We start from the raw sequence: 25,425 nt of genomic DNA on the forward strand, positions 1-25,425 counted from the left end.
AGCATGGAAGATACCTGAGGGAGTTTTTAAATTATTTTTCGGTGGGGTGGAGGGGCAGGCTTAGAAGTGGGGCACAACCTTTCCACTTCCATTCCATAGCCACACTCAACTTCAAGGGAGGCTGGGAAGTGTAGTAGAGCTGTGAATCTGGGAGGAAAACAAAGTGGGTTCCAGGAGAGCTGACCAGTCTTGCCTTCAAGCTTTGATACATGAACTTGTTTCCCCTTTTCCTTCTGATAAGTAAGCCTAGTTAGGAATTTTACTTTATTTGAATGAGTTAGGTTTTCACGTTGCTCTATTAGGAAATAAAGAACCTGTCTGTGACAGCAGGACATCCCAGGATATATTAATCATGTCCTCTTTTGTTCAGTGTTGATTTAAAAGTTCTACCAAATTATTTACTGTTTTTGTTTTCCTGTATTTTAACTCTTTGATAAATAGTAGCTTGGATGGGGCTTTTGTGGCTGAAACTGCCCTTCATTGCTTGTCTAGAGAGGCAGTAGGGCAAGGTGGTCAATAGTACAGACTATAGGATCTGATTTCAAATCCCAGCGGTGTCACTCACAAGCTGCTTAACCAAGGACGAGTTATTTGACCTTGCTAAGCCAAGAACACCCACCTGAGGGTGTTGTTATGAGGATTTAGTAAATTAACATATAGAAGCCCTCAATACACAATGTCGGCACACATTAAGTGTTGTATAAGTGCTGGCTGTTATGTCTGCTCTTTCAGCTCCACTTTATTCTTCATTCAAAACTCAGTGTAGTGTCTCCTTTGGAAAGTTTTCTCTGACTATGGCAGGCAGAATTCTGTTTTGTTTTTTTTTTCCCTTTCTGCTTCCAGGAAACATTGAATTTAATGCATTGAATTATAAGGTGTGTCCATGCATGTGTCTGTCTCAGGCATTAGATCTAAAGACAAGAAATTGGCCATTCTAAATTTGCCTGTATGTATCCCCATAGCCAGCACAGCACAGCACAGTGTCATACACATTGCAGGCAATCAGCTATTTGCTGATGTGAAGGAAACCTCGTTAACCAGAGTACCCTATATATCAGAAAGCTCAGTTTCCTTACCACACTGGAGAGCAAGGAGTTCACTATATTAGCTGTGACTTTCATTTTAGTTGACTTGGGTGACGCCAGATTTAAGTGACAGATCACTGTGCCCTACCTGCCTTTTTACATGATCCAGTCCACCCAAACTGTCCCTCAGGGACCAGCAGCCTTTGTGCTAAGATTCTGATTTTACTTTGGCTGGCATGTATAGCTCCCCTTCTATAGGGGTACGTGTAGGAATGTGATAATTCAATTTCTTAGTTTGTGTTATCAGCATTAGTCTGTGCCGTGCACATTTCTTGTTTCATTCATTCACTTTTTTCTTGCCTCACCATTCCCACCAGGCCTGTGATAGGAAAATTCTGTGCGTATCCTTAGCTAATCGATAACATTGTTTTGCATGTGTGAATTTTTAGTTTACATACATTATGGACCTTGTTGGTTTTTTCTCTATTTTTTAAACTGTTAATGTTAATATAACTTTAAGCTCACAGAAAACTTATAGGAGTGATACAAGGAACAATCATATTTGCCCAGATTCTGCATTATTTGGAAGGAAGAGAAAGCGTGTATTCATAGATGTGTATACTTATATATACAAACAGTATTGTTATTTTGAACCCTTTGAGAGTTAAGTTGTAAACATCATGACCCTCTACCCCTAAATACTTCAGTGCCTATTTCCTAAGAACAAGACTTTCACTTAAGTATATACTGCCCAGTTAGCAAAATCAGGAAATTGAGTATCAATAAAATACTATTACATAATTTACAGATCTTATTCAAATTTTCCCAATTTTCCCAATAATGTCCTTTATGGGATTATTTCCCCCTGCCCTAGCATCTAATCCAGGATCCCATCTTGCGTATAGCTTTTATGTCTTTTTAAAGTCTCTCTTTTAATCTCCAACTGTTGTTCAGCCTTTCTTTATTTTTCATGACATTGACATTTTAAAGACCACAAGCAGTTATTTTGTGGACTGTCTTTCAATTGAGGTTTATCTGATGTTTCTTCATGATTAGATTTCCTCCTCCCTCCTCAGCAAGTTTTCTTTTTAAAAAAAATACTGTTTTTAAACTCTCTTCATGTTGATACATCTGTATCCAGTTTGTTGATTCCACCTGCTGCACAGAATTCCCTAATGCAGACTGCCTCTTGGAACAGATTTGGCAGGGCTGCCAGGAAGGCAGCATCCGGCAGAGCTTCCTTGGCATCAGGATGGTGTCTTTGTGGGGGCTGTATGACATGGGAAATGAGAACACCACTTTGACACATGTGCCCTGGGTCACCCTGCTTTAGCTGGTGATAGTGGGCCTCAGATGTTTGCTTCTTCAACTATTTCTAAGGCACACGGAGCTATTATGCTTTGCAAGATAAGGTAGGATAGGAAGTTAATCTCTTTGATTGTTTTTTCCTTCATTAATTCATGCATTTAATAAATATTGATTAAGGGCCTACTCTGCTCATTGGAGCTTATCTTCTAGCCTATTGAATACATAAAATAAACTTTTGAATCGAAAGCTCGTCTAACTGTGACAGAGGCAAAGTTGTTAAAATTGAGCTTAAGGTAAATGGTTCAACATTTTCAATTTATTAGTAAAATAGCCTTATAGAAATCATGCTTCTGCCTCGTCACCCAAATACAGTGATTTCCATTTCTCCCTGGCCTCTTTTGGTATTTACCAACATTGAACATCATTTGTGCCTCATTATCTCTATAGGGCATAAATAATTTTGCATTCCCTTTTTTCCAGTGAAAAATATTTTGTATATACTTTCCCTTGTTTCATAACTTGCATATTCATCACACTTAATGACTGTAGTAAATTCTTTCAAGCTGATCTATAACTTATGCATATCTCTTAAGTTGTAAATTTGCCTTGTGTCTAGTTTTTCCACTAATGTTAGGAGAAAAAATTTTAAAGGAAGTGTGTATCATGCTCCTGTGTTAAGGCAGTTTTGACAAATAGTTTCGTCTAAAATCGTTCATTCTAAGATACAAAAAAGGTTAGATTCCTGTAAAGAAAACACATTCTGTCTTCTTTTTAGGAAAACTTATTTTTTCCTGATTATGTTTTGAGTGTCCACTTATAATGGAAGGATAATTAGTAGAGAAAGACCTGATGTGCTTGGAGCTTTGCCAGCTGAAAACCTTGCATGTATTAGGAAACAGCAGGTTTCCAGTGGGGAATAGTAGAGTAATGGACTGTGCAGCTAAGATATAAGACTGCAGCGCGACAGCTCCCAACTGCAGCAGGCTCACCATCACTCACTTTCCTTGACACAAGTGGACAGTCTTTCAGTTCTTCTGCACTTTCCTTGTGAGAACCACCGGAGGAATACATCGCCCTCTGGCAGGAGGCAGTCAGCTCCATCACAGCAGGGAGGAGTGATGAGCTGTCCGTACCTCTGGACACACCTAGGAATGATTCCGCAGCCGTTGCTCAGTCCTCAGCGAGGACTCAGGAAAGCAAGAAATGGACATAGTTCTCGTTTACAGATCACTGTGTTTCATCCCACCCAGAATCTTCTGAGCATCCAATGCTGAGAGGTACTTGCCCGGGGTGAGGTTGGAAGCTCGTGATCAGTGGGTGGTTGCAGGGACTATTTCTAAAGAGGGCACGAATAAAAAGATTTGGGACCAACTAACCGGACCTTGGTAGGATGGAATAACTGAGACATTAATTGTTCGGTAGGCTCTGCTAGAAACTTCAAAGATCCTAGGTAGGGCTCTGACATCTTCTGTATTAGTTATGTGCCTGTATGGATCAGATGAGGATTTTCTTCATATATAGAATTTTTATCTTACTTTTCCTCCATGAGAGTGGGACCTTGTGTGTCTGGTTTCTTGCTCTATTTTCTGTTGCTTAGTGTGGAGCTTAGAGCATAAAAAGTGTTCAATAAATATTTGTTGGTTGGACGATGACTTAAGCTGTGTAGTTCTGTAGACTAAAAACATGATCATCTAGGCAGCTGCAATCTACTTGTTTAAAGGGTTCTCTCAGGTTACTGCAGAAATGAGTAGGACCTAAAGAAACCGAAGTCGGAGAATAGCAGGGTGCAAAGGAAAGTACAGTGGCTTTAGAGCCAGGCAGATAAGAGTTCTTATCCCAACTCTACTACTCACTGCTGTCTTCACTTGGTTAACTCATTTATGATTCCTAAATCTGAGCTTTCGCACCTATAACATGCGTATCAAACCACTTTCCCCACAGAGTTTGTGGGCAGTTCATTGCTCAGAGTGGACACTCAAAAATGTCACCTTCTTCCTCCCTCCCCTGCCAAAAGGGAGACAAAAGCAGGAGGGGCCCAGATGATGTGTCCAAGTGTTAGATCTCTACATTCATGTTATCTGTCATGTAAAGTGTGCCACATATTGGCTTCTCTTCATACAGCAGCTAATGGCATGCATACTTCAAACAGCATATGCACCTTTTGGTTCTGCTTTGAGCCTCTCTATTAGTAACTGTGTTCTTTGCCTTTACAGGATTTATGAGCGTGTGATAGACCCTCCAGATACCAACCTTCCCCCAGGAATCAATTTATGGCTTGGCCAGCGCAACCAAAAGCATGGCTTATTCAAAGTAAGCACTAACGTTCTTTTTATTGAAGTATATATATAGGCGATGCTCAGTTTTCTGTGTTATTTATTGGAGCCGTGTTTATAATTACATTAGTGGGAAGGGCATGGCATAATAGCTACTAATGTTTATTGAACACTTACTTTGTGACACATGCTTTTTTATGTGCTTGACATGAATAAACTGGTTTACTTGTCACAGTAATTTGTGAAGTAGGTGCTTTGAAACCAGGCAGAGAGTTAAGTGACTTGCCCAAGGTTATCCAGTTCACTCTGCTGCCAGGGATGGATGATCCAGAAGGCAAATGATCCTCAAAATGTTGACCTCCCAATTCTGAAGGATTTACGATAATCTTCAAACTGGTTTCCCTTCTCAGATTATATGTTAATTCAGTTTAGAGTAGATGTCTAGATATGAAAAATACATCTCTGCTTCCTTGAGCTTTGGTTTAATTGCATTACTGGGAACAGAAAACCAAATACTGCATATTCTCACTTATAAGTGGGAGCTAAACACTGAATACACATGGACACAAAGATGGGAGCAGTAGACACTGTGGACTACTAGAGGTGGGAGGGAGAGAGGGAGCCATGGGCTGAAAAACTATTTGGTACCATGCTCACTACCTGAGTGACTGGACCATCCATAGCCTAAACCTCAACATCATGCAGTATACCCATGTAACAAACCTGCGTGTGTACCCCCTACATCCAAAATTTTTTTTAAAAAAACTGCATTATTATACTTCACAGAAACATAAGGATACAGTGATAAAATAAATTTAAAAACTTAAAAATACCATGAAATTTTAAGACAGTCTTGTTCTTTGAAAGAATGACACACTTTTGCTTCTGGCAATATGGCAGACTAGATATTCTAAAAATCCTTCTGCTTCAAAATGACTATAATGCTCGATAAAATACCACAAAAATATTTTAAAATTCAGCATTGTACTTATACGAAAGGAATTCCTTGGGGACCAAATATATGGAGGGGAGAGAAAGCCAGAGGGGTATCAGTACCAGAACTTAGAGCCTTAGGTTCCTTCTTTTTTATTTTTAAAAAATTAAGGTGTAATTCCGCATGTTCTCACTCACAGGTGGGAGTTGAACAATGAGAACACATGGACACAGGGTGGGGAACATCATACACTGGGGCTGGGAGAGAGATAGCATTAGGAGAAATAACTAATGTAAATGACGGGTTGATGGGTGCAGCAAACCAACATGGCACATGTATACCAAGGTAACAAACCTGCACGTTGTGCACATGTACCCTAGAACTTAAAGTATAATAAAATAATACCAAAAAAAAGTAAGATGTAATTTACATACAGGAAAATTCATTCCATTTAATGTACAGTGTCACAAGTTTTGGAAAATCTACACTGTATTATAATCATCATTGTAATTGAGATAAAGAACCATTTCTTTATCTCCAAAAATTTCCATCCCCCTTTGTATTAAACCCTTCTCCTCACCCGAAGCCTTTAGCAACCACTGGTCTGTTTTCTGACCCTGTAGTTTTGTCTTTACCAGAATGTTATATAAATGGAATCATTTATGTGTGTGTGTGTATTTACATAAGTTTCTATGTTGAGATTCACCAAGTTGTTGTGTGTATCAGTGGTTCATTGTTTTCTATTGCTGAGTAGTATTCCAGTTCTGTTGTATGAATGTATCATATTTTGTTTGTCCATTCTTCAGTTGATGGACATCTGGGTTATTTCCAGTTTGGAACAATTATGAATAGAACCACTATAAACATTTGCATACAGGTTTTTGTGTGAACAGCGGTTTTGATTTCACTTAGGTAAGTGTGTAGGTGTGGGCTTACTGGGTTGTATATTAAGTGTATGTTTAAATTCACAGGCAACTGCTAAACCATTTTTCAAAGCAGCTGTGCCAGTTTTTGCATTCCCACCAGCAATCTATGAAAATTTCAGTTAGAGCTTTAAATTTCAACCGTCTGTGTGGGATGGGAGAAATTACTTAGATCCCATGCGTGACTGAGTGTTGGAATGGAAATTTTTAAGGTAAAGCCAGTCCACTATCTAGCAGAAGGAGGCAATCCAGAAACTATCCTGTCTGCATCTCATCTCCAGATGAGAAAAAATAATACTTCCCAGAGAACTAGTAAACCACAGCACTTGAAGGGTTGCAGACTTGACACCCAGATTTACTTTACCCATGAAGCTCAATAAAGTATATTAAAGTGGCCCTGGATTAGGTACCTTGGGAGTCCTGATGAAGAAAATACAAATTATCTTTGGAGAAAGTCACTTTTGATGTAGACCTCAAAGGATGCCCACAGATTAAGTCCATAAAATAGGAGCTCTAAAGCCATCACGAATGACAGTGGAAAGAAACAAAAAAATGCTCAGTTAGTCCTCACAGGGCTACAGAAAATGAAATTAGCAGGTAAAGAATTTTTTTTTAATTTTTTAAAAAACTTCTGTTTAAAATGTTTGAAGAATCAAAATAATAAAGAATGTATGATGACTAGAGATAATAAATAGGCCCAGAGATAGTTGAACTAAAAAGCACTTCCAAAAATGAAAGATACAGTTGTTGAAGTTAAAAAAGAAACAAAAACCAAAAACCTCAGTGAACCTGCTAAACAGATTAGACACAGGTAGGAAGAGCATTTGTGAAATGGAAAATATTGTTAAAATAATTAAACTAATAGTAGTGCTTCAGAGATAAAGAGAAGAAAATAGGAAGGAGGTTAAAATATAGAACAGATACATGTATATAAAAAAAGTTTACGTATCTGTTTAATATGTGTGAATATGTATGCATATCTATATAAAATGGCTGTTCTGATGCCTCTATGTTTTCTAAGTGGCTTCTTAGATAGCTGAGATAGATAGCTTCTTAGATATGTATATTATTATAATATACATATATTTAAAAATTAAGGAAGATAATAAAGAATATATTATGTCTATATATGCATATATATTTGAAAATTCCAGATAGTAAACAGAGATAAAGGTTATGGGCACTATTATAAGTATAACGGGTAAGAATTTTCTAAACTTAATAAAAGACATTAATTCTCATTACTGAAAGAACAATGAAATAAAAGTATATGTTGTTGATTTCACATAGAAATCATAGAAAACATAGAGGCATCAGAACAGCCATTTTATTTAGCTCAAAAACCAATTTTTTTCTGCTTTGACCTGGCTAAGCTGATACTTGTTAGGCTGTCTCCCATGTCTGTGGTTAATTGGCATGCTAGCAGGTGGCAGGATGATCTGAGAGCCTCTTCACCTCTCTGGGGGTTGGCTGGCTGTTGACTCTTGTTCCTCAGTTGTCCTCACATGGTCTCTCATCTCCAATGGCCTAGCTCAGCTTATTTACATGTCATCCCTGGGATTCCAAGTATCGGAAGAGTGCAATCCCTAAAGTACTAATATTTTCAAGGCTTTGTTTGCTTGATCACATTTGCTAATGTTTTATTGCCCAAAGCAAGTCATATGGCCAACTCCAGAGTCAAAATGTAAATAAATAGACTTCATCTCTTGAAGGGCTGCTCCATGATATCACATTGCAAGGATATGGATGCAAGGAGGGAAGAATTTTTTTTGGCCACATCAGCAACCTATTATACAAATCAAGATAAATAGACAGCCACACTTAGATATACTGGCAGAATAGCAGAACTCCAAAGACACAGAGAAGATCTTAAAAATAGCCAGTGACAAAACACAAATTTTTCACAAAAGGATAACAAACTGAACAGCTGGTTTTTAAACAGTAAAAGCAGAAGTCAAAAGACAGTAGAAAAAGTGTTTTCCAAGTTTTGAGAGAAAATAACTTTCAAATGTAGTAGTATATACCAAGCTTAATTGTCATTTGAGAATGAGTGTGACATAAAGACATTAGTAGAGAAATGAAACTCTCAGTTTATAACCAATAGATCTTCATTTAAAAAACTTCCTGGAAGGAAGACATACAGTGCAAGAAGAATTGGAGAGCAAATGCATGTTGACAGTATGCACAAATCTCAGTGATTATTATTCTGAATGATTGCCATTATCCTTGTTTGATTAAAATATAATAATGCTTAATTTTAGAAAAATAATATTAAAAATATTGACAATGGAATCCTTCACCATCAACCAAAATATCCGGGTTCTGTCATCAAAATTGACTAGAAGGCTGGCGTGACTCATGGAGAGAAGGAGGAACAGTGCGGTGCGACGGCCCATCTGAGAGCCACACGGGAAAGGGGAGCCCCCTCCCTGCAGCCAAGGGAGGCAGATTTCCAGTAACTCCAGCCGGAGACTCAGGGACAGAATTCGGATTTCCCTGGGCCTGAGCCCCTAGCGGGAGAGGTGGCCACAGTCTGTGTGGACCAGCAGACTTAGCCTCTTGTCTTGGTAATTCTGAAGAATCCGGGCAGTCTAGACGAGTAGGTTTCCCCCCAGCAAAGCACACCCGCTCCACCAATGGCCAAAATGCCTCATTAAACAGGTCCTGCTCCCTGTGCCACCCAACTGAGTGAGACCCTCCAACAGGGGTTGTCAAGCACCCTATACAGGAGCAATCCTACTGGCATCAGTTTGGTGTCGTTCGAGGTCAGAGGTCCCAGAAGGAGCAGGAATCCAACTCTGCTGTTCTCCAGCCTCCTTAAGTGACATCTCCAGGCATGGGAGTGAAGCAGGTGAACAGGGCCTGAAGTGAATCCCCAGCAAACTGCAGCAGCCCTACAGAAGAGAGACCTGACTATTGAAATAAAGACAAGCAGAAAGTAACAGCAACAGCATCATCAATGACAACAAAAGGCCCCCACAAAAACCCCATCCAAAGGTCAGCAGCCTCAAAGACTGAAACTAGACAAACTCACGAAGATGAGAAAGAATCAATGAAAAAATTCTGAAAACCCAAAAGGCCAGAGTGCCTCTTCTCCAAATGATTTCAATGTCTCTCCATCAAGGGCACAGAACTGGATGGAGGATCAGATGGACAAATTGACAGAAGCAGGCTTCAGAAGGTGGGTAATAACAAACTCCTCTGAGTTAAAGGAGCATGTTCTAACCCAATGCAAGGAAGCTAAGAACCTTGATAAGAGGTTAAAGGAATTGCTAACCAGAATAACCAGCTTAGAGAGGAATATGAACAACGTGATGGAACTGAAAAACATGGCAGAAGAACTTTGTGAAGCATACACAAGTATCAATAGCTGAATTGACCAAGCAGAAAAAAGGACATTAGAGTTTGAAGACCACCTTACTGAAAAAAGATGCAGAAAAGAATAAAGAAAAGAGAATGAAAAGGAATGAACAAAGCCTCCAAGAAATATGGGACTTCATAAAAAGACCGAACCTACCATTGACTGGAGTACCAGAAGGAGACAGGGAGAATGGAAACGAGCTGGAAAACACACTTCAGGATATTATCCAGGAGAACCTCCCCATCCTAGCAAGACAGGCCAACATGCAAATTCAGGAAATACAAAGAACACCATTAAGATACTCTACGAGAAGATCAACCCCAAGACACATGATCATCAGCTTCACGAAGGTTGAAATGAAGGAAAAAAACTGTTAAGGGCAGCCAGAGAGAAAGACCAAGTCACCTACAAAGGGAAGCCCATCAGACTAACAGTGGACCTCTTAGCAGAAACTCTGTAAGCCAGAAGAGATTGGGGGCCAATATTCAACATTCTTAAAGAAAAGAATTTTCAACCCAGAATTTCATATCCAGCCAAAGTAAACTTCATAAGAGAATGAGAAATAAAATTCTTTCCAGACAAGCAAATGCTGAGGGATTTTGTTACCACCAGGCCTGCCCTGCAAGAGCTGCTGAAAGAAACAATAAATATGGAAAGGAAAAACTGGTACCAGCCACTGCAAAAACACACCAAAATATAAAGACCAATGACACTACAAAGAAACTGCATCAACTAGTGTGCAAAATAACCAAATAACATCATGATGACAGGATCAAATTCACACATAACAATACTAACCTTAAATGTAAATGGGCTAAGTGCCCCAATTAAAAGACACAGACTGGCAAATTGGATAAGGAGTCAAGACCAATCGGTATGCTGTATTCAGGAGATCCATCTTACATGCAAAGACACACACAGGCTCAAAATAAAGGGATGGAGGAAAATTTACCAAGCAAATGGAAGGCAAAAAAAGGCAGGGGTTGGAATCCTAGTCTCTGACAAAACAGACTTTAAACCGACAAAGATAAAAAAAGACAAAGAAGGGCATTACATAATGGTAAAGGGATCAATTCAACAAGAAGAGATAACTATCCTAAATACATATATGCACCCAATACAGGAGCACCCAGATTCATAAAGCAAGTTCTTAGAGACCTACAAAGAGACTTAGACTCCCACATAATAATAGTGAGAGACTTTAACACCCCACTGTCAATATTAGACAGATCAACGAGACAGAAAATTAACAAGGATATTCAGGACTTGAACTCCGCTTTGCATCAAGTGGACCTAGTAGATGTCTACAGAACTCTCCACCCCAAATCAACAGAATATACATTCTTCTCAGTGCCACATGACTCTTATTCTAAAATCAACCACATAATTGGACATAAAACACTCCTCAGCAAATGCAAAAGAACTGAAATCATAACAAACCGTCTCTCAGATCACGGTGCGATCAAATTAGAACTCAGGATTAAGAAACTCGCTCAAAACCGCACAATTTCATGAAATCTGAACAATGTGCTCCTGAATTACTCCTGAGTAAATAATGAAATTAAGGCAGAAATCAAGAAGTTCTTTGAAACCAATGAGAACAAAGAGACAATGTACCAGAACTGATTATCAGAGAAATGCAAACCAAAACCACAATGAGATACCATCTCATACCAGTCGGAATGGTGATTATTAAAAAGGCAAGAAACAATAGATCCTATGTGAGGCTGTGGAGAAATAGGAATCCTTTTACACTGTTGGTGGGAATGCAAATTAGTTCAACCATTGTGGACGATAGTATGGTGATTCCTTAAGGATCTATGACCGGAAACACCATTTGACCCAGCAGTTCCATTACTGAGTGTATACACAAAGGAATATAAATCATTCTACTGTGAAGACACATGCGGCCGGGCGCAGTGGCTCAGGCCAGACACGGTGGCTCACACCTGTAATCCCAGCACTTTGGGAGGCCGAGGTGGGTGGATCATGAGGTCAGGAGTTCAAGACCAGCCTGACCAACATGGTGAAACCCTGTCTCTACTAAAAATACAAAACTTAGCCGGGTGTGGCGGCACGCGCCAGTAATCTCAGCTACTTGGGAGGCTGAGACAGGAGAATCGCTTGAACCCATGAGGTGGAGGTTGCAGTGAGCTGAGATTGTGCCATTGTACTCCAGCCTGGGTGACAGAGAGAGACTGTGTCTCAAAAAAAAAAAAAAAAAAACAGACACATGTACATGTATGTTTATTGCAGCACTATTCACAATAGCAAAGACGTGGAACTAACCCAAATGCTCATCAATGTTAGACTAAAGAAAATGTGGTACATAAACACCATGGCATACTACACAGCCATGAAAAGGAATGAGATCATGTCCTTTGCAGAGACATGGGTGAAGCTGGAAGCCATCATCCTCAGCAAACCAACACAGGAACAGAAAACCAAACACTGCATGTTCTTACTCATAAGTGGGAGTTTAACATTAAGAACACATGGATACAGAGAGGGGAACAACATACCCCAGGGCCTGTTGGGGGGTGAGGGGTGAGGGGAGGGAATTTAGAGGATGGATCAATGGGTGCAGCGAACCACCATGACACATGTCCTATGTCACAAACCTGCACACTCTGCACATGTATCCCGTGTTTTTTTTTTTAATAAATAAAAAAATAATTAAAATTAAAATTAAAAAAATATTGACAGCAATAAAATGTTAGTAAAGGTGATCTGATTTAAAGTGTTCTAAGGCCTGATTTCAAGTGTTCTAAGTGGTCAGAAAAAGAATGGAGAAACTGATTAACTTTAGACTTTAAGTCTACATGTTAGAATTAAAACAATATCAAAATAATAGAAATCATGTTTAACTCCCAAACTCTGACATTTAAGTATAAGAGAAAAGGGGATTTTTTTTAAGCCTCATCAACCCAAAATAAGGTAAGAAGAGAAATATTTAATATAAGATACCATATATAATTCCATTTCACAATTGTTATTATCAATTTAAGTGATTTACACTTAGAATGAAAAATAAGAGTATTATATTGAATTCATAAAACCCAAAGCCTGTTGTATATTGCTTACAGTGAAACAATAAAAAATAAGGACTCATAAATGTTGATAGTGAGGTAGTTAAAAAAAAAAAAAAAAGAAAAATAGGCCAAACTAAACATGAGAAGGCTGGAGAAACTGCTGATTTCAAACTGCAAGGCCAAAAAGGTCACCACATAATAATAAGCTATTTTAAAGATGTATGTACTGAATAACATAATCTCAAACTGTATGTTGTAGCCTGGCAGAATAGCAGGCATGGATGGCCTACTCACTACAGTGTGCTGGGTCAACTGAATATCCCCATGGGGAAAGCACTAATCCTGACCCTGTTTCACACAACTGATAATGCAAAATCAATTCCAAGTGGGCTATAGATCAAAAAGTTAAACTGACAAAGCTTATAAAAGATAATGTAGGAGAATACTTTATGACCTCGATGTAGGAAAAATACTTTTTAAATAAGATGTAAGAAATAATAACTATAAAGGAAAAGACTGATCCATTGGAATATATTAAAATTTGGAACTTTTCTCATCAAAATAGATGACTAAGAGAGTAAAAAGGCATGTCAAGGAATAGGAGGAGCTATTCAAAGTAGTTGTGTCCCACAAAGGCCTTTTATCCAAGCTGTATAAAGGACCCCTTTACATCAATAATGAAAAGTCTATCCAATAAAAACATTTGAGAAAAATGCTACCAGGCACTTCACAAAAGGGAATGTCCAAAAGGCCAGTAAACAAAGGGGATGGTATCAATATGATTAGTCATCAGGGAAAGTAAAGCCATACTGAGATGCTACTGAATATCCATCAGAATGGGTCAAATTAAAAACACAGACCATACCATGTATTTGCAAGGATGTGGAACAACTGGAGCCTTCATTCACTGCTGGTGGGAATGAAATTGATTTAAGTACTAAGGAAAGCTGTTTGTTAGTATGGTTAATAAAATGGACATATATATGTCCTATGACCAAGAAAGAATACTCTAGGTACCTAATGTCTAATAGAGATATGCATTTGTATACACTAAAAGGCATGCACAGAATTTTTAAGATTTGCATAAATTTGTGGGGTACATGTAAATGTTGTTATATGTATATAACGTATAGTGATCAAGTCAACGTATTTAGGGTGTCCATTGCCTGAGTATAATACATTTTTGTTAAGTATAGTCAACCTACTCTGCTATCAAACATTGAAATTATTCCCTCTGGCCGGGCGCGGTGGCTCACGCCTGTAATCCCAGCACTTTGGGAGGCCGAGGCGGGCGGATCACGAGGTCAGGAGATCGAGACCATCCCGGCTAAAACGGTGAAACCCCGTCTCTACTAAAAATACAAAAAAATTAGCCGGGCGTAGTGGCGGGCGCCTGTAGTCCCAGCTACTTGGGAGGCTGAGGCAGGAGAATGGCGTGAACCCGGGAGGCGGAGCTTGCAGTGAGCCGAGATCCCGCCACTGCACTCCAGCCTGGGCGACAGAGCGAGACTCCGTCTCAAAAAAAAAAAAAAAAAAAAAAAAAAAAAAAAAAAAAAAAAAAGAAATTATTCCTTCTGTCCTACTGTGTATATGTACCCTTTAACCAGCTTCTCTTCATCCTTGCTCCATGTACCCCATTCACCCTTCCCAGTCTCTGTTATCTGTCTTTCCGCTCTCTATCTTTCCACTCTCTAGCTGTGTATTCAAATTTTTTAGCTCCCACATATAAGTGAGAACATGTGATATTTGCCTTTTTTTTTTTTTTTTTTTGAGACGGAGTCTCGCTCTGTTGCCCAGGCTGGAGTGCAGTGGCGCGATCTTGGCTCACTGCAACCTCCGCCCCTCCAGGTTTAAGCATTTCTCTGCCTCAGCCTCTGGAGGAGCTGGGATTACAGGTGTGTGCCACCATGCCCGGCTAATTTTTTTGTATTTTTAGTAGAGACGGGGTTTCACTGTCTTGGCCAGGCTGGTCTTGAACTCCTGACCTCGTGATCCACCCACCTCGGCCTCCCAAAGTGCTGGGATTACAGGCCTGAGCCACTGCGCCTGGCCAGATACTTGCCTTTTTTATGCCTGGCTTATTTCACTTAAGATAATGACCTCCAGTTCCATCCGTGTTGCTGCAAATGACATGAGTTCATTTTCTTTTTTTGGCTGAATAGTATTTCATTGTGTATATAGGCCACATTTTCTTTTTTTTAAATTCTATGATTTGGTGTTTATTTTTTATATTTTTAAAAAAATTTCACTAGTTTTTGGGGCACAGGTGGTTTTTTGTTACATAGATAAATTCTTTAGTGGTGATTTGTGAGATTTTTGGTGCACTCATCACCCGAGTGGTGTACACAGTACCCAACATGTAGTCTTTTATCCCTCACCCTCTCTCACCCTTTCACCTAAGTCCCCAGGATCCCTTCTGTCATTCTTATACCTTTGTGCCCTCATAGCTTAGCTCCCACTTATAAGTGAGAACATACAATATTTGGTTTTCCATTCCTGAGTTGCTTCACTTAGAATAATGGTCTCCAGTTTCATTCAGGTTGCTGTGAATGCCATTATTTCATTTCCTTTTATGGCTGAGTAGTATTTATATATACATGCCACAATTTCTTTATCCATTCATTGGTTGATGGACATTTAGGCTGGTTCCGTGTCTTTGCAATTGAGAATTGTGCTGCTATAACCGTGTGTATGTCTTTTTCATATAATGACTTCTTTTCTTCTTGGTAGATACCCAGTAGTGGGATTGCTGGATCAAATGGTATTTCCACTTTTGGTTCTTTAAAGAATCTCCATACTGTTTTCCATAGGGGTTAATAGTTTACATTCACACCAGCAGTGTAAAAGTGTTCCCTTTTTAGTCAAATTGTCCCTGTTTGCAGACGACATGATTGTATATCTAGAAAACCCCATCATCTCAGCCCAGAATCTCCTTAAGCTGATAAACAACTTCAGCAAAGTCTCAGGATACAAAATCAGTGTGCAGAAATCACAAGCATTCTTATACACCAATAACAGACAAACAGAGAGCCAAATCATGAGTGAACTCCCATTCACAATTGCTTCAAAGAGAATAAAATACCTAGGAATCCAACTTACAAGGGATGTGAAGGACCTCTTCAAGGAGAACTACAAACCACTGCTCAATGAAATAAAAGAGGATACAAACAAATGGAAGAACATTCCATGCTCATGGGTAGGAAGAATCAATATCATGAAAATGGCCATATTGCCCAAGGTAATTTATAGATTCAGTGCCATCCCCATCAAGCTACCAATGCCTTTCTTCACAGAATTGGAAAAAACTACTTTAAAGTTCCTATGGAACTAAAAAAGAGCCCGCATTGCCAAGTCAATCCTAAGCCAAAAGACCAAAGCTGGAGGCATCATGCTACCTGACTTCAAACTATACTACAAAGCTACAGTAACCAAAACAGCATGGTACTGTTACCAAAACAGAGATATAGACTAATGGAACAGAACAGAGCCCTCAGAAATAATGCCACATATCTACAACTATCTGATTTTTGACAAACCTGACAAAAATAAGAAATGGGGAAAGGATTCCCTATTTAATAAATGGTGCTGGGAAAACTGGCTAGCCATATGTAGAAAGCTGAAACTGGATCCCTTCCTTACACCTTATACAAAAATTAATTCAAGATGGATTAAATATTTAAATGTTAGACCTAAAACCATAAAAACCCTAGAAGAAAACCTAGGCAATACCATTCAGGAAGGACATAGGCATGGGCAAGGACTTCATGTCTAAAACACCAAAAGCAATGGCAACAAAAGCCAAAATTGACAAATGGGATCTAATTAAACTAAAGAGCTTCTGCACAGCAAAAGAAACTACCATCAGAGTGAACAGGAAACCTACAGAATGGGAGAAAATTTTTGCAATCTACTCATCTGACAAAGGGCTAATATCCAGAATCTACAATGAACTCAAACAAATTTACAAGAAAAAAACAAACAACCCCATCAACAAGTGGGCAAAGTATATGGATAGACACTTCTTAAAAGAAGACATTTATGCAGCCAAAAGACACATGAAAAAATGCTCATCATCCCTGGCCATCAGAGAAATGCAAATCAAAACCACAATGAGATACCATCTCACACCAGTTAGTATGGCGATCATTAAAAAGTCAGGAAACAACACAGGTGCTGGAGAGGATGTGTAGAAATGGGAACACTTTTACACTGTTGGTGGGACCGTAAACTAGTTCAGCCATTGTGAAAGTCAGTGTGGTGATTCCTCAGGGATCTAGAACTAGAAATACCATTTGACCCAGCCATCCCATTACTGGGTATATACCCAAAGGATTATAAATCATGCTATTATAAAGGCACATGCACACATATGTTTATCGCAGCACTATTCACAATAGCAAAGACTTGGAACCACCCCAAATGTCCAACAATGATAGACTGGATTAAGAAAACGTGGCACATATACACCGTGGAATACCATGCAGCCATAAAAAAGGATGAGTTCATGTCCTTTGTAGGGACATGGATGAAGCTGGAAACCATCATTCTCAGTAAACTATTGCGAGGACAAAAAACCAAACACTGCATGTTCTCACTCATAAGGGGGAATTGAACAATGACAACACATGGACACAGGAAGGGGAATATCACACACCAGGGCCTGTCATGGGGTGGGGGGAAGGGGGAGGGATAGCATTAGGAGATATACCTAATGTTAAATGATGAGTTACTGGGTACAGCACACCAACATGGCACATATATATATATGTAACAAACCTGCACATTGTGCACATGTACCCTAAAACTTAAAGTATAATAAAAAAAAAAGTGTTCTCTTTTCACCACATCCACGTCAACATCTATTTTTTTTTTTTTTAAATTATGACCATTCTTGCAGGACTAAGATGCTATTTCACTGTGGTTTTAATTTGCATTTCCCTGATAATTAGTGATGTGAGTATTTTTTCATATGTTTGTTTACCATTTGTATATATCACATTTTCTTTATTCATTCATTCATTGATGAACACTTAGGGTGATTCCATATTTTTGCTTTCACAAGTAAATAATATTTGCTTTCACAAATCTATAAATAAAACTAGGGAAGTCTCCTAGTTTTATTTACAGATCTAGGTGGCACTTGCACAGTGTTTATGTCAAGTTAATTCATCAATATGTACTTTTATGATTTGTGTAACTATCTGTATATATGTTATTCTTTAATAAAAATGTTTACTAAACATATATGCATAGTAGGTAATTAGAGGGAAAATGGATACATTTGCCATCATACTGAGTGATATTTAACATACTTCTCGCAATAACTTATAGATCAAGCTAGCAGAAAAGTTAGTAAGCGTATGGATTTAAACATACTTAACAAGTTTAATGGCTATATATATATACACACACACATACACACTCTACCAACAATGAACACATCTAGCACATGGAATCTTTGTGAAAATTAACTACATAAAAGTCCATAAAAAGGAAATCTCCACAAATTACAAAAAATGATACATAGACCATATTCTCTGATGACAGTGCAGTTACGTTAGAAATAAATAGTGAAAAGATAACTAACCTCCCACCTTTGTATGTTTGGCAATATAAACAGTATCATTTAAAGTAACTAATCAGTCTGGGGGAAAATAATAGTATAAGTTAATAACTAACTCAGAAAGATAATAAATATCACAATTTGTGAGATGCAGCTAAAGCAATTCTTAGCAGTATTTATCTTTAAATGCTTGTATTGGAAAAGGTAGATATTTAATGAGTTAAACATCCAAATAGGGAAGTTAGAAAAAGAACAACAGAATGTATACAAAGAAAGTAAAAGGAATGAAATAGTAAGCATGAAATCGTAAGAACAGAAATTCATAAAATAATGAGTAGGGTATAATAGGCAAGATCAAGAAAGCCAAAATTTGATCATTTGAAAATACACTGGGAAGTTTGAGCAAGAAGAAAATGAGAGAAGGCATAAATATATTAGAAATAAAAAAAGCATATAACAATAAATGCTGCAAAAATTAAAACAGTAGTAACCATTTGTTAACAACTTTATGCCAATAAAATGGAAAATTAGAGAAAAATGGACAGTTTTCTAAAGCTACATGAATCGCCAAAATGGACTTCAAATAACTATGGTAGTCTTAGCTTCATTAAAGTGATGAGTTTATGATTGAAAGTCTATTGTACCAGTTAGCTTTTGATATACAGCAAATCAAAACAAAGCTTAATGGCTTAAAACAACAGCCTTTATTTACCTCACAATTTTGTGCATTAGCAATTTGAGCTGGGCTTACTTTGCTGGATTTTATTCTCCATGGGTTCATTTGTGCATCTTTGATCAGCTGCTGGGGTTTCTGGGGCCTAGTTGTACTAGGCCTTGAATGGCCTTAGCTGGTATGGCTCATCTCTGCTTCATGTGGCCTCTCGATTTCCAGAAGTCTAGCCCAAACTAGTTTACATGATCATGGAATAAAGTTTCAAGAGTCAGAGCAGAAATGTGCATGGCCTTTTGAGGCCTAGGCTTGAAACTTGCACTAGATTACTTTGCTTCATTATATTGGCCAAAGCAAGTTACAAGCCCAGCTTAGATTCAAGTGTACTGGAAATAGATTTGACCTTTTGATGGGATATGCTACAAATTCACATTGCACAAGGTATGGACACAGTGAGGAGCAAAGGACTGGGATCATTCTGGCAGTCTACCATGTCCCTCCACCAAATAACCACGAGGCTCACACAGTTTTACAGGGGAGTTGTAGCACACATCCAAGGAAATAATTCCAATCTTAAATAAACTCTTCCAGAGAGGAGAATAAATGAGAATACCACTCATCTAATTTTATGAGCATAGGTCACCTTGATTTGCAGAGTAGACAAGGACCGTATGAGAAGGGAATTGCTTAAGCCAATTTACTTTTGAACAGATTAGATTAAAAAATTTAAACAAAATATTATTAGCAACCTGTTTATTAGCAGAGTGTATGTATGCGTGTGTGTCTGGGTGTGTGAGAGAGAACAAGTTGATTATTTCAATAGTGAAAATTTGTTTTTATCTTCAGAAAATTTCTTAATGAAATTGACTACATTAAAGGAGAAAAAAATCCAATGGTCTTCTCAAGAGGCAGAAAAGGCACTAGAAGAAATTCAATACTGACTCATTAAAAATTCTTAGCAAACTAGAAATAGAAGGAAACTTCATTAAATTGATAAAAGTACATGAAGTAAACATACATCAAATATCATACTTACGGTTTAAATATTAAGAGAATTCCTGTTAAAATCAGGAACCACACAAGAATGACTATTATCAGTGTTTCTATTCAACATTGTACTGGAGGTTCTTACCAGCAAAATAAGTAAAAATCTTAAGGATTATAATTTAAAAAGTAGTTATTAACTTATATATTGCCTATATATAAAAAATGATCACCAAATTATTAGAATTAGCAAGAGAGTTCAGAAAGAGTACTAGATGTAAAGCCAAAGATAAGATCAATTGCATTGCTGAGCAAAAGCAGCACAGTGGCAGCTGCAACAGCAATAACAAAAACTGCAATTAAATATTTTATTTATAATATCAAAAGGTGAATCAAATAGGAACAAATCAAATAAAATATATACATGACACCTATAAAGAAAATTATGAAATTTTATGAAAAACCACTGAAGACCTAACTGGGGAGAAGTACGCTATGTTCTTGGAGAAGAAGGCTTAAAATAATAAAAACGTCTGCTTCTTCCACATTGCTCTCTAGGGTCAATGAACTTGTAATCAGTTCCCAAGAGGATTTTTTTTTTTTTCCTGATGGACTCTGACAAGCTGATGCTAAAATTTTTAGGGAAGACCAGAGGCCAAGAATAACTAAGACATTTTCTGAGGGAGAAAAAGGAAGGGACTTAGCCATCCAGATGTGAAGGCTTATTGTAAAGTTATAGCAATCAGCAGAGTGTGATATCACTGCATTAATCAGCACATGAACCAAGAGATCAGAATGGAGAGGCCAGAAATGACCCTTTCGTCATGTGTGGAAACTTGGAAACTTGACACATAACTGATGTGGCATTCCTGACCAATGAGGAAAGGATGGATTCATCAATACATGGTTAGGAAAATCAGTTATTTAAAAACATTATATATATATTATAGACACAGACATTGAGTGATGTAATTGATTTTTGTGTACAGTATAAGGAAAAGCTTCAAATATATACCTGGACCCCATACATAAAAATCACTTACAAGTACAATTGAATTAAATACCTAACTGAAAGCTCAATGTTGAAAGGTTTAGAAGACAACATAAGAACATATCTTCACGATCTCAGTCAGGATAGAGAAGTTCTTAGACAAGATAAAAAAATGCACAAGTCCTTAAAGAAAATACTGATGGGTTTACTGCATAAAATTCTAAAAAGTGTGACAATACATCAAGGAAGATCTTGACAACAATTAGCAAAAAAAAAGTATTCATTGAAGAAATGCTGCAAATCAATAAGAAACCTTTTTTTTTTAACTCAATAGGAAGTCAGACAAAAGATATAGAAGGATGGTTTTCCAAAGTAGAAAACATAAATAACCAGTGAACATATTGAAAGTAATTCAAGTTCACTAGTTATCTTGGAAATGCAAATTAAAACCATTATGAAAAACCATTTCTTCACCCATTAGCCTGGCAAAAGTGAAAAACCATCTGACAATGCTATGTGTAGGGGAAGTCATTGAGCAATGGATTCTTACCCATTGTGTTGGAAACTTGAATTGGTGGAACCAATAGAGAGGGAAATTTGGGGATCCTTGTAATGTGCATACATTTGGACATAGGAGCCCAACTCTTTGGTATAAACGTTGAAGAAACTCTTGGTCATATACCCAGGTATATATGTATAAGCATCATCACAGGACTTTTTTTTTTGTTTTGGTAATTTCAAAAACTTGGAAAAAACCTAATTGTCCATCAATAGGAGAATGTTTAAATACGTTGTAGTAGAGACATAGAAACATAAAAATCAGTGAAATTGAACAAAAATTGATGAATTGCTAAAGTAATTTTAAATGAAAAAGCTAGCAGAAGGATAAAATTACAGTATTAAATCATGTATATATTTCAAAATGCAAGATAATTCCATATACAGCTTATTGATACATCCATATATATACAAAGAAAAATGCATAGAAGTGATAAACACTAAATTTAGAATAGTTTACTTCTGAGAGGAGGAAATGGGAGTTTTATTAGGGTTGTGAACCCAGAAGACTTCAACTATATTGAGGATATTTTATTTCTCAAGTGTTTGCTATATGTTGTTTTGTACATCATAAATATTCAAAATGTTTAAAATGGCATACTTTTTCAGGGTGATAATCCACATATATATGTGAATATATGTATATATGTGTGTGTGTATATATGTATATGTATATAATTTTGCCATGTTTCCAAGAATGAACAGAAATTCATCCAAGTGTCTCAGTTTAAAACTGAACTCACATTCAATGCAATGGTGTGTCTTGTTCTGTAGCTAGTTACTTCCTGGTGAAGCTCTCCTTTTCTTGTGGGTCCTGGATCTGTAATGAAGGGCAATGACTGGTTCTCAGTCCTGAAAAGACATTAAAATCATATTAGAAGACTTTAAAAATCAAATTATTGTGTACACTTAGACCTCCTCATTGAGAATCTGAACAGTAGGGTCTAAGAACTGACACATTTTTTTCACAACCTTCTTATTGGTTTTGATTTATTCAGTTTGAAGGCTCAAATTTGAGTGCACTGACATACAGGAAATATGTGTTGATGGCCTAGATTATGGTTTTGCCTTATCTCTATAAGGAGCCCACAAATCTAACATATGGTCAGTAATTAGCTTCTAATTAGTGACTTTTTAGATTAGTTGTTCTCTAACTTTAGATTGCATACAAATATCCTGGAAGGCTTGTTAAAACACAAGTAGCTGGATGTCAACAAAATGTTAGAGTAGAAAACCTGAAGCTGCTGTTTCTCGACAGAAACACTGAAAAACAAGCAGAAATTGTCAGAACCAACTTTGTTGGAACTTAGGAAAATAGTCAGAGGTTTATAGCAACCGAGTGAATGCTGAATCAAGAAAAAGGCAACCTTAAAACAGTAGGAAAGCTGTGAGGCATGTTTACTTGCCTTTTGTACCATACCATTTATAACCCAGTGGCAGTCCTGAAAGATTTCAGCCCATGTTCCTAGTGTAGGACAACAGTCTCTGGTTGTGGAGTGAGCAGAGCAGACCTTATTCACAAATTATTTTGCATATCTATTCTAACTATCTGGGACTATGTGAAGAACTGATAAAAGGTACTTGTAACTCAGAACGAGTTAGTGGGTGCAGCGCACCAGCATGGCACATGCATACATATGTAACTAACCTGCACAATGTGCACATGTACCCTAAAACTTAAAGTATAATAAATAAATAAAAAAAAAAAGAAAAAAGTGGCAGGCATTGATTTATTGCATATTTCAAAATAGCTACAAGAGAAGATTTGGAATGTTCCCAACACGAATAAATAACTAATGTTTGAAGTGACAGTTATCCCAATTATCCTGATATGATCATTATATATTGTATGCACGTACCAAATATCAAATGTACCCAATACATAGGTACAATTATTATGTGTTAATTTAAGAAAACATTTCAAATCTAACAAACACCATGTGTCTGCCTGGGGCCAAAGAGTATGGTTGAGACATATAGTAGATCATGTAAAGCAAAGAGAAAATGCTGGAAAAAGGGTTTCTTTGGACAATTAGAACATTCAAAATCACCTGTGTGTTCAAGGAATTTAGAAAGCCATATGCATGCCTAGGGCAAGAGGTAAGGTCAGAAAAGACTTGAGAACACCCAAAGCTTTCATCTTTGGCTGATCCCTAGGATCAGTGTAAGCCTGGCTAAGTGTTGAAGGAGGGTCCCAGCACGGAGAAAATCTGCAAAGGTTGGAGGAGTCTCTCTCTCTTTCTTGTTTTTGGTTGCTGACATTCAAGGAAATCCCTGTCAAAATTTTTTTTTAAGTTTTTTTTTCTTTCTTTCTTTTTTCTTCTTTTGAGACAGGGTCTCATTCTGTTGCCCAAGCTGGAGGACAATGATATGATCATGGCTCACTGCAGCCTTGACCTCCTGGGCTCGTGTAATCATCCCATTTTAGCTTCCTAAGAAGCTAGGACTACAGGCACATGTGACCATGCCTGGCTAATTTTTAATTTTTTTTTTTTTTTTTCACAGAGACAAAGTCTCACTGTGTTGCCCAGGCAGGTCTCAAACTCCTGGCCTCCAGCAATCCTCTTTCCACAGCCTATCAGAGTGTTGGGATTACAGGTGTGAGCCACCTTGCCTGGCCCAAAATACTTTATAACATAAGATTAGGAACAGAGATTTCAGTTACTACACATGACTAGAAATACAGTCTCTGCAAAAATAGTTTGGTAAGCCACTAAAGAAATGGACTACTGTAGTATTCAACAATAAAAAACAAAGAAAAACAAAACTCAGCAAACCCCAGTAAAGGGGCAGATCTGTTCTCCAGTGTTAATACATTATAACATCCAAATGTTCAGTGTTCAAATAAAGTCACAGGCAAACAAAGAAAGAGGAAAGTATTGTCATTCAAAGGAACAAAATAAATGAATAGAAACTATTCCTGAGGAAGCACAGATGTTGAACTTACTGTACAGACTTTAAAATAACTGTCTCTAATGTGCTTAAAGAGCTAGATGAAAACATGGATAAAGAAATAAGTCACGAAAATGATGTATAAAAAAATGAGAATATCAATGAAGAGATATAAATTATAAAAAGGAACCAAACAGATACTCTGCAGCTGAGAAGTACAACTGGAATAAAACACTTACTAGAGGGATGCAAGAGAAGATTTGAGCAGGCTGAAGAATGAGTAATGGAACTTAAAGATAAGATCATTGAAATTAACAAGGCTGTGGAGCAAAAAGAAAAATGAATAAAGAAAAATGAACAAGGCCTGAGGGATCTATCTGTAGGACATTATCAAATAGACTAATGTATGCACCGGGGGTGTCTCAGATGGAGAAGATAGAAAGTACTGGAAAGAAAATTTGGAACAATAATGGTTAAAACTTTTAACATTTGATGAAATATATGAATCTATGTATCCAAGAAGTTTAGCAAACTGTAAGTAAGATAAACTCAAAGGTATCCACACTGAGACACGTTATGATAAAACCATCAAAAGATAAACGCAAAGAGAATCTTGAGAGCAGAAAGCAAGACATGACTGTCAAATACAAGGACTTCTTCATGAGATTAGCAGTAAATTTATCATCAGAAACCATGGAGACCAGAAGGCAATGGGTTGTCATATTTAAAGTAGGGTCATTACTACTGACCTTACAGAAATTAAAAGGATTAAAATAGAAGACTATGAATAATTATATGAAAACAAATTAGATAACCTAGATGAAATGGACAAATTCCTAGAAACACATAACCAACCAGGACTGGATCATGAAGAAGACCGGATCATGAAGAATTAGAAAATCTGAAGAGAC

General features: G+C 37.5%; 1 protein-coding gene and 1 long non-coding RNA gene across 5 annotated transcripts in view, besides 1 other annotated feature; one reads left to right on the forward strand and one right to left on the reverse strand.

The window, feature by feature from the left end:
* NELL1 (neural EGFL like 1) overlaps positions 1–25,425 on the forward strand; it is a 906,136-nt gene that overhangs the window by 211,347 nt on the left and 669,364 nt on the right. For all 4 annotated transcript variants that reach the window (NM_001288713.1, NM_201551.2, NM_001288714.1 and 1 more), the window contains one exon: positions 4,547–4,643. In NM_001288713.1, coding sequence (NP_001275642.1) covers positions 4,547–4,643 — 97 coding nt within the window. The remainder of the gene's footprint in view (positions 1–4,546; positions 4,644–25,425) is intronic.
* Positions 1–25,425, reverse strand: part of LOC105376585 (uncharacterized) — a 46,166-nt gene that overhangs the window by 267 nt on the left and 20,474 nt on the right. Inside the window, exon 2 of the long non-coding RNA XR_931106.3 lies at positions 22,366–22,474. This is a non-coding gene — a long non-coding RNA (uncharacterized LOC105376585). The remainder of the gene's footprint in view (positions 1–22,365; positions 22,475–25,425) is intronic.
* Positions 250–762: an enhancer, noted in NCBI's record as "OCT4-NANOG-H3K27ac hESC enhancer chr11:20902693-20903205 (GRCh37/hg19 assembly coordinates)". NCBI's record gives its function as "activates a minimal SCP1, AML or CMV promoter by ChIP-STARR-seq in primed H9 embryonic stem cells {active_cell/tissue: H9 hESC(primed)}" and the evidence as "EXISTENCE:reporter gene assay evidence [ECO:0000049][PMID:30033119]".

This window comes from Homo sapiens, chromosome 11, assembly GCF_000001405.40.
Source record: "Homo sapiens chromosome 11, GRCh38.p14 Primary Assembly".
Lineage (NCBI taxonomy): Eukaryota > Metazoa > Chordata > Mammalia > Primates > Hominidae > Homo > Homo sapiens.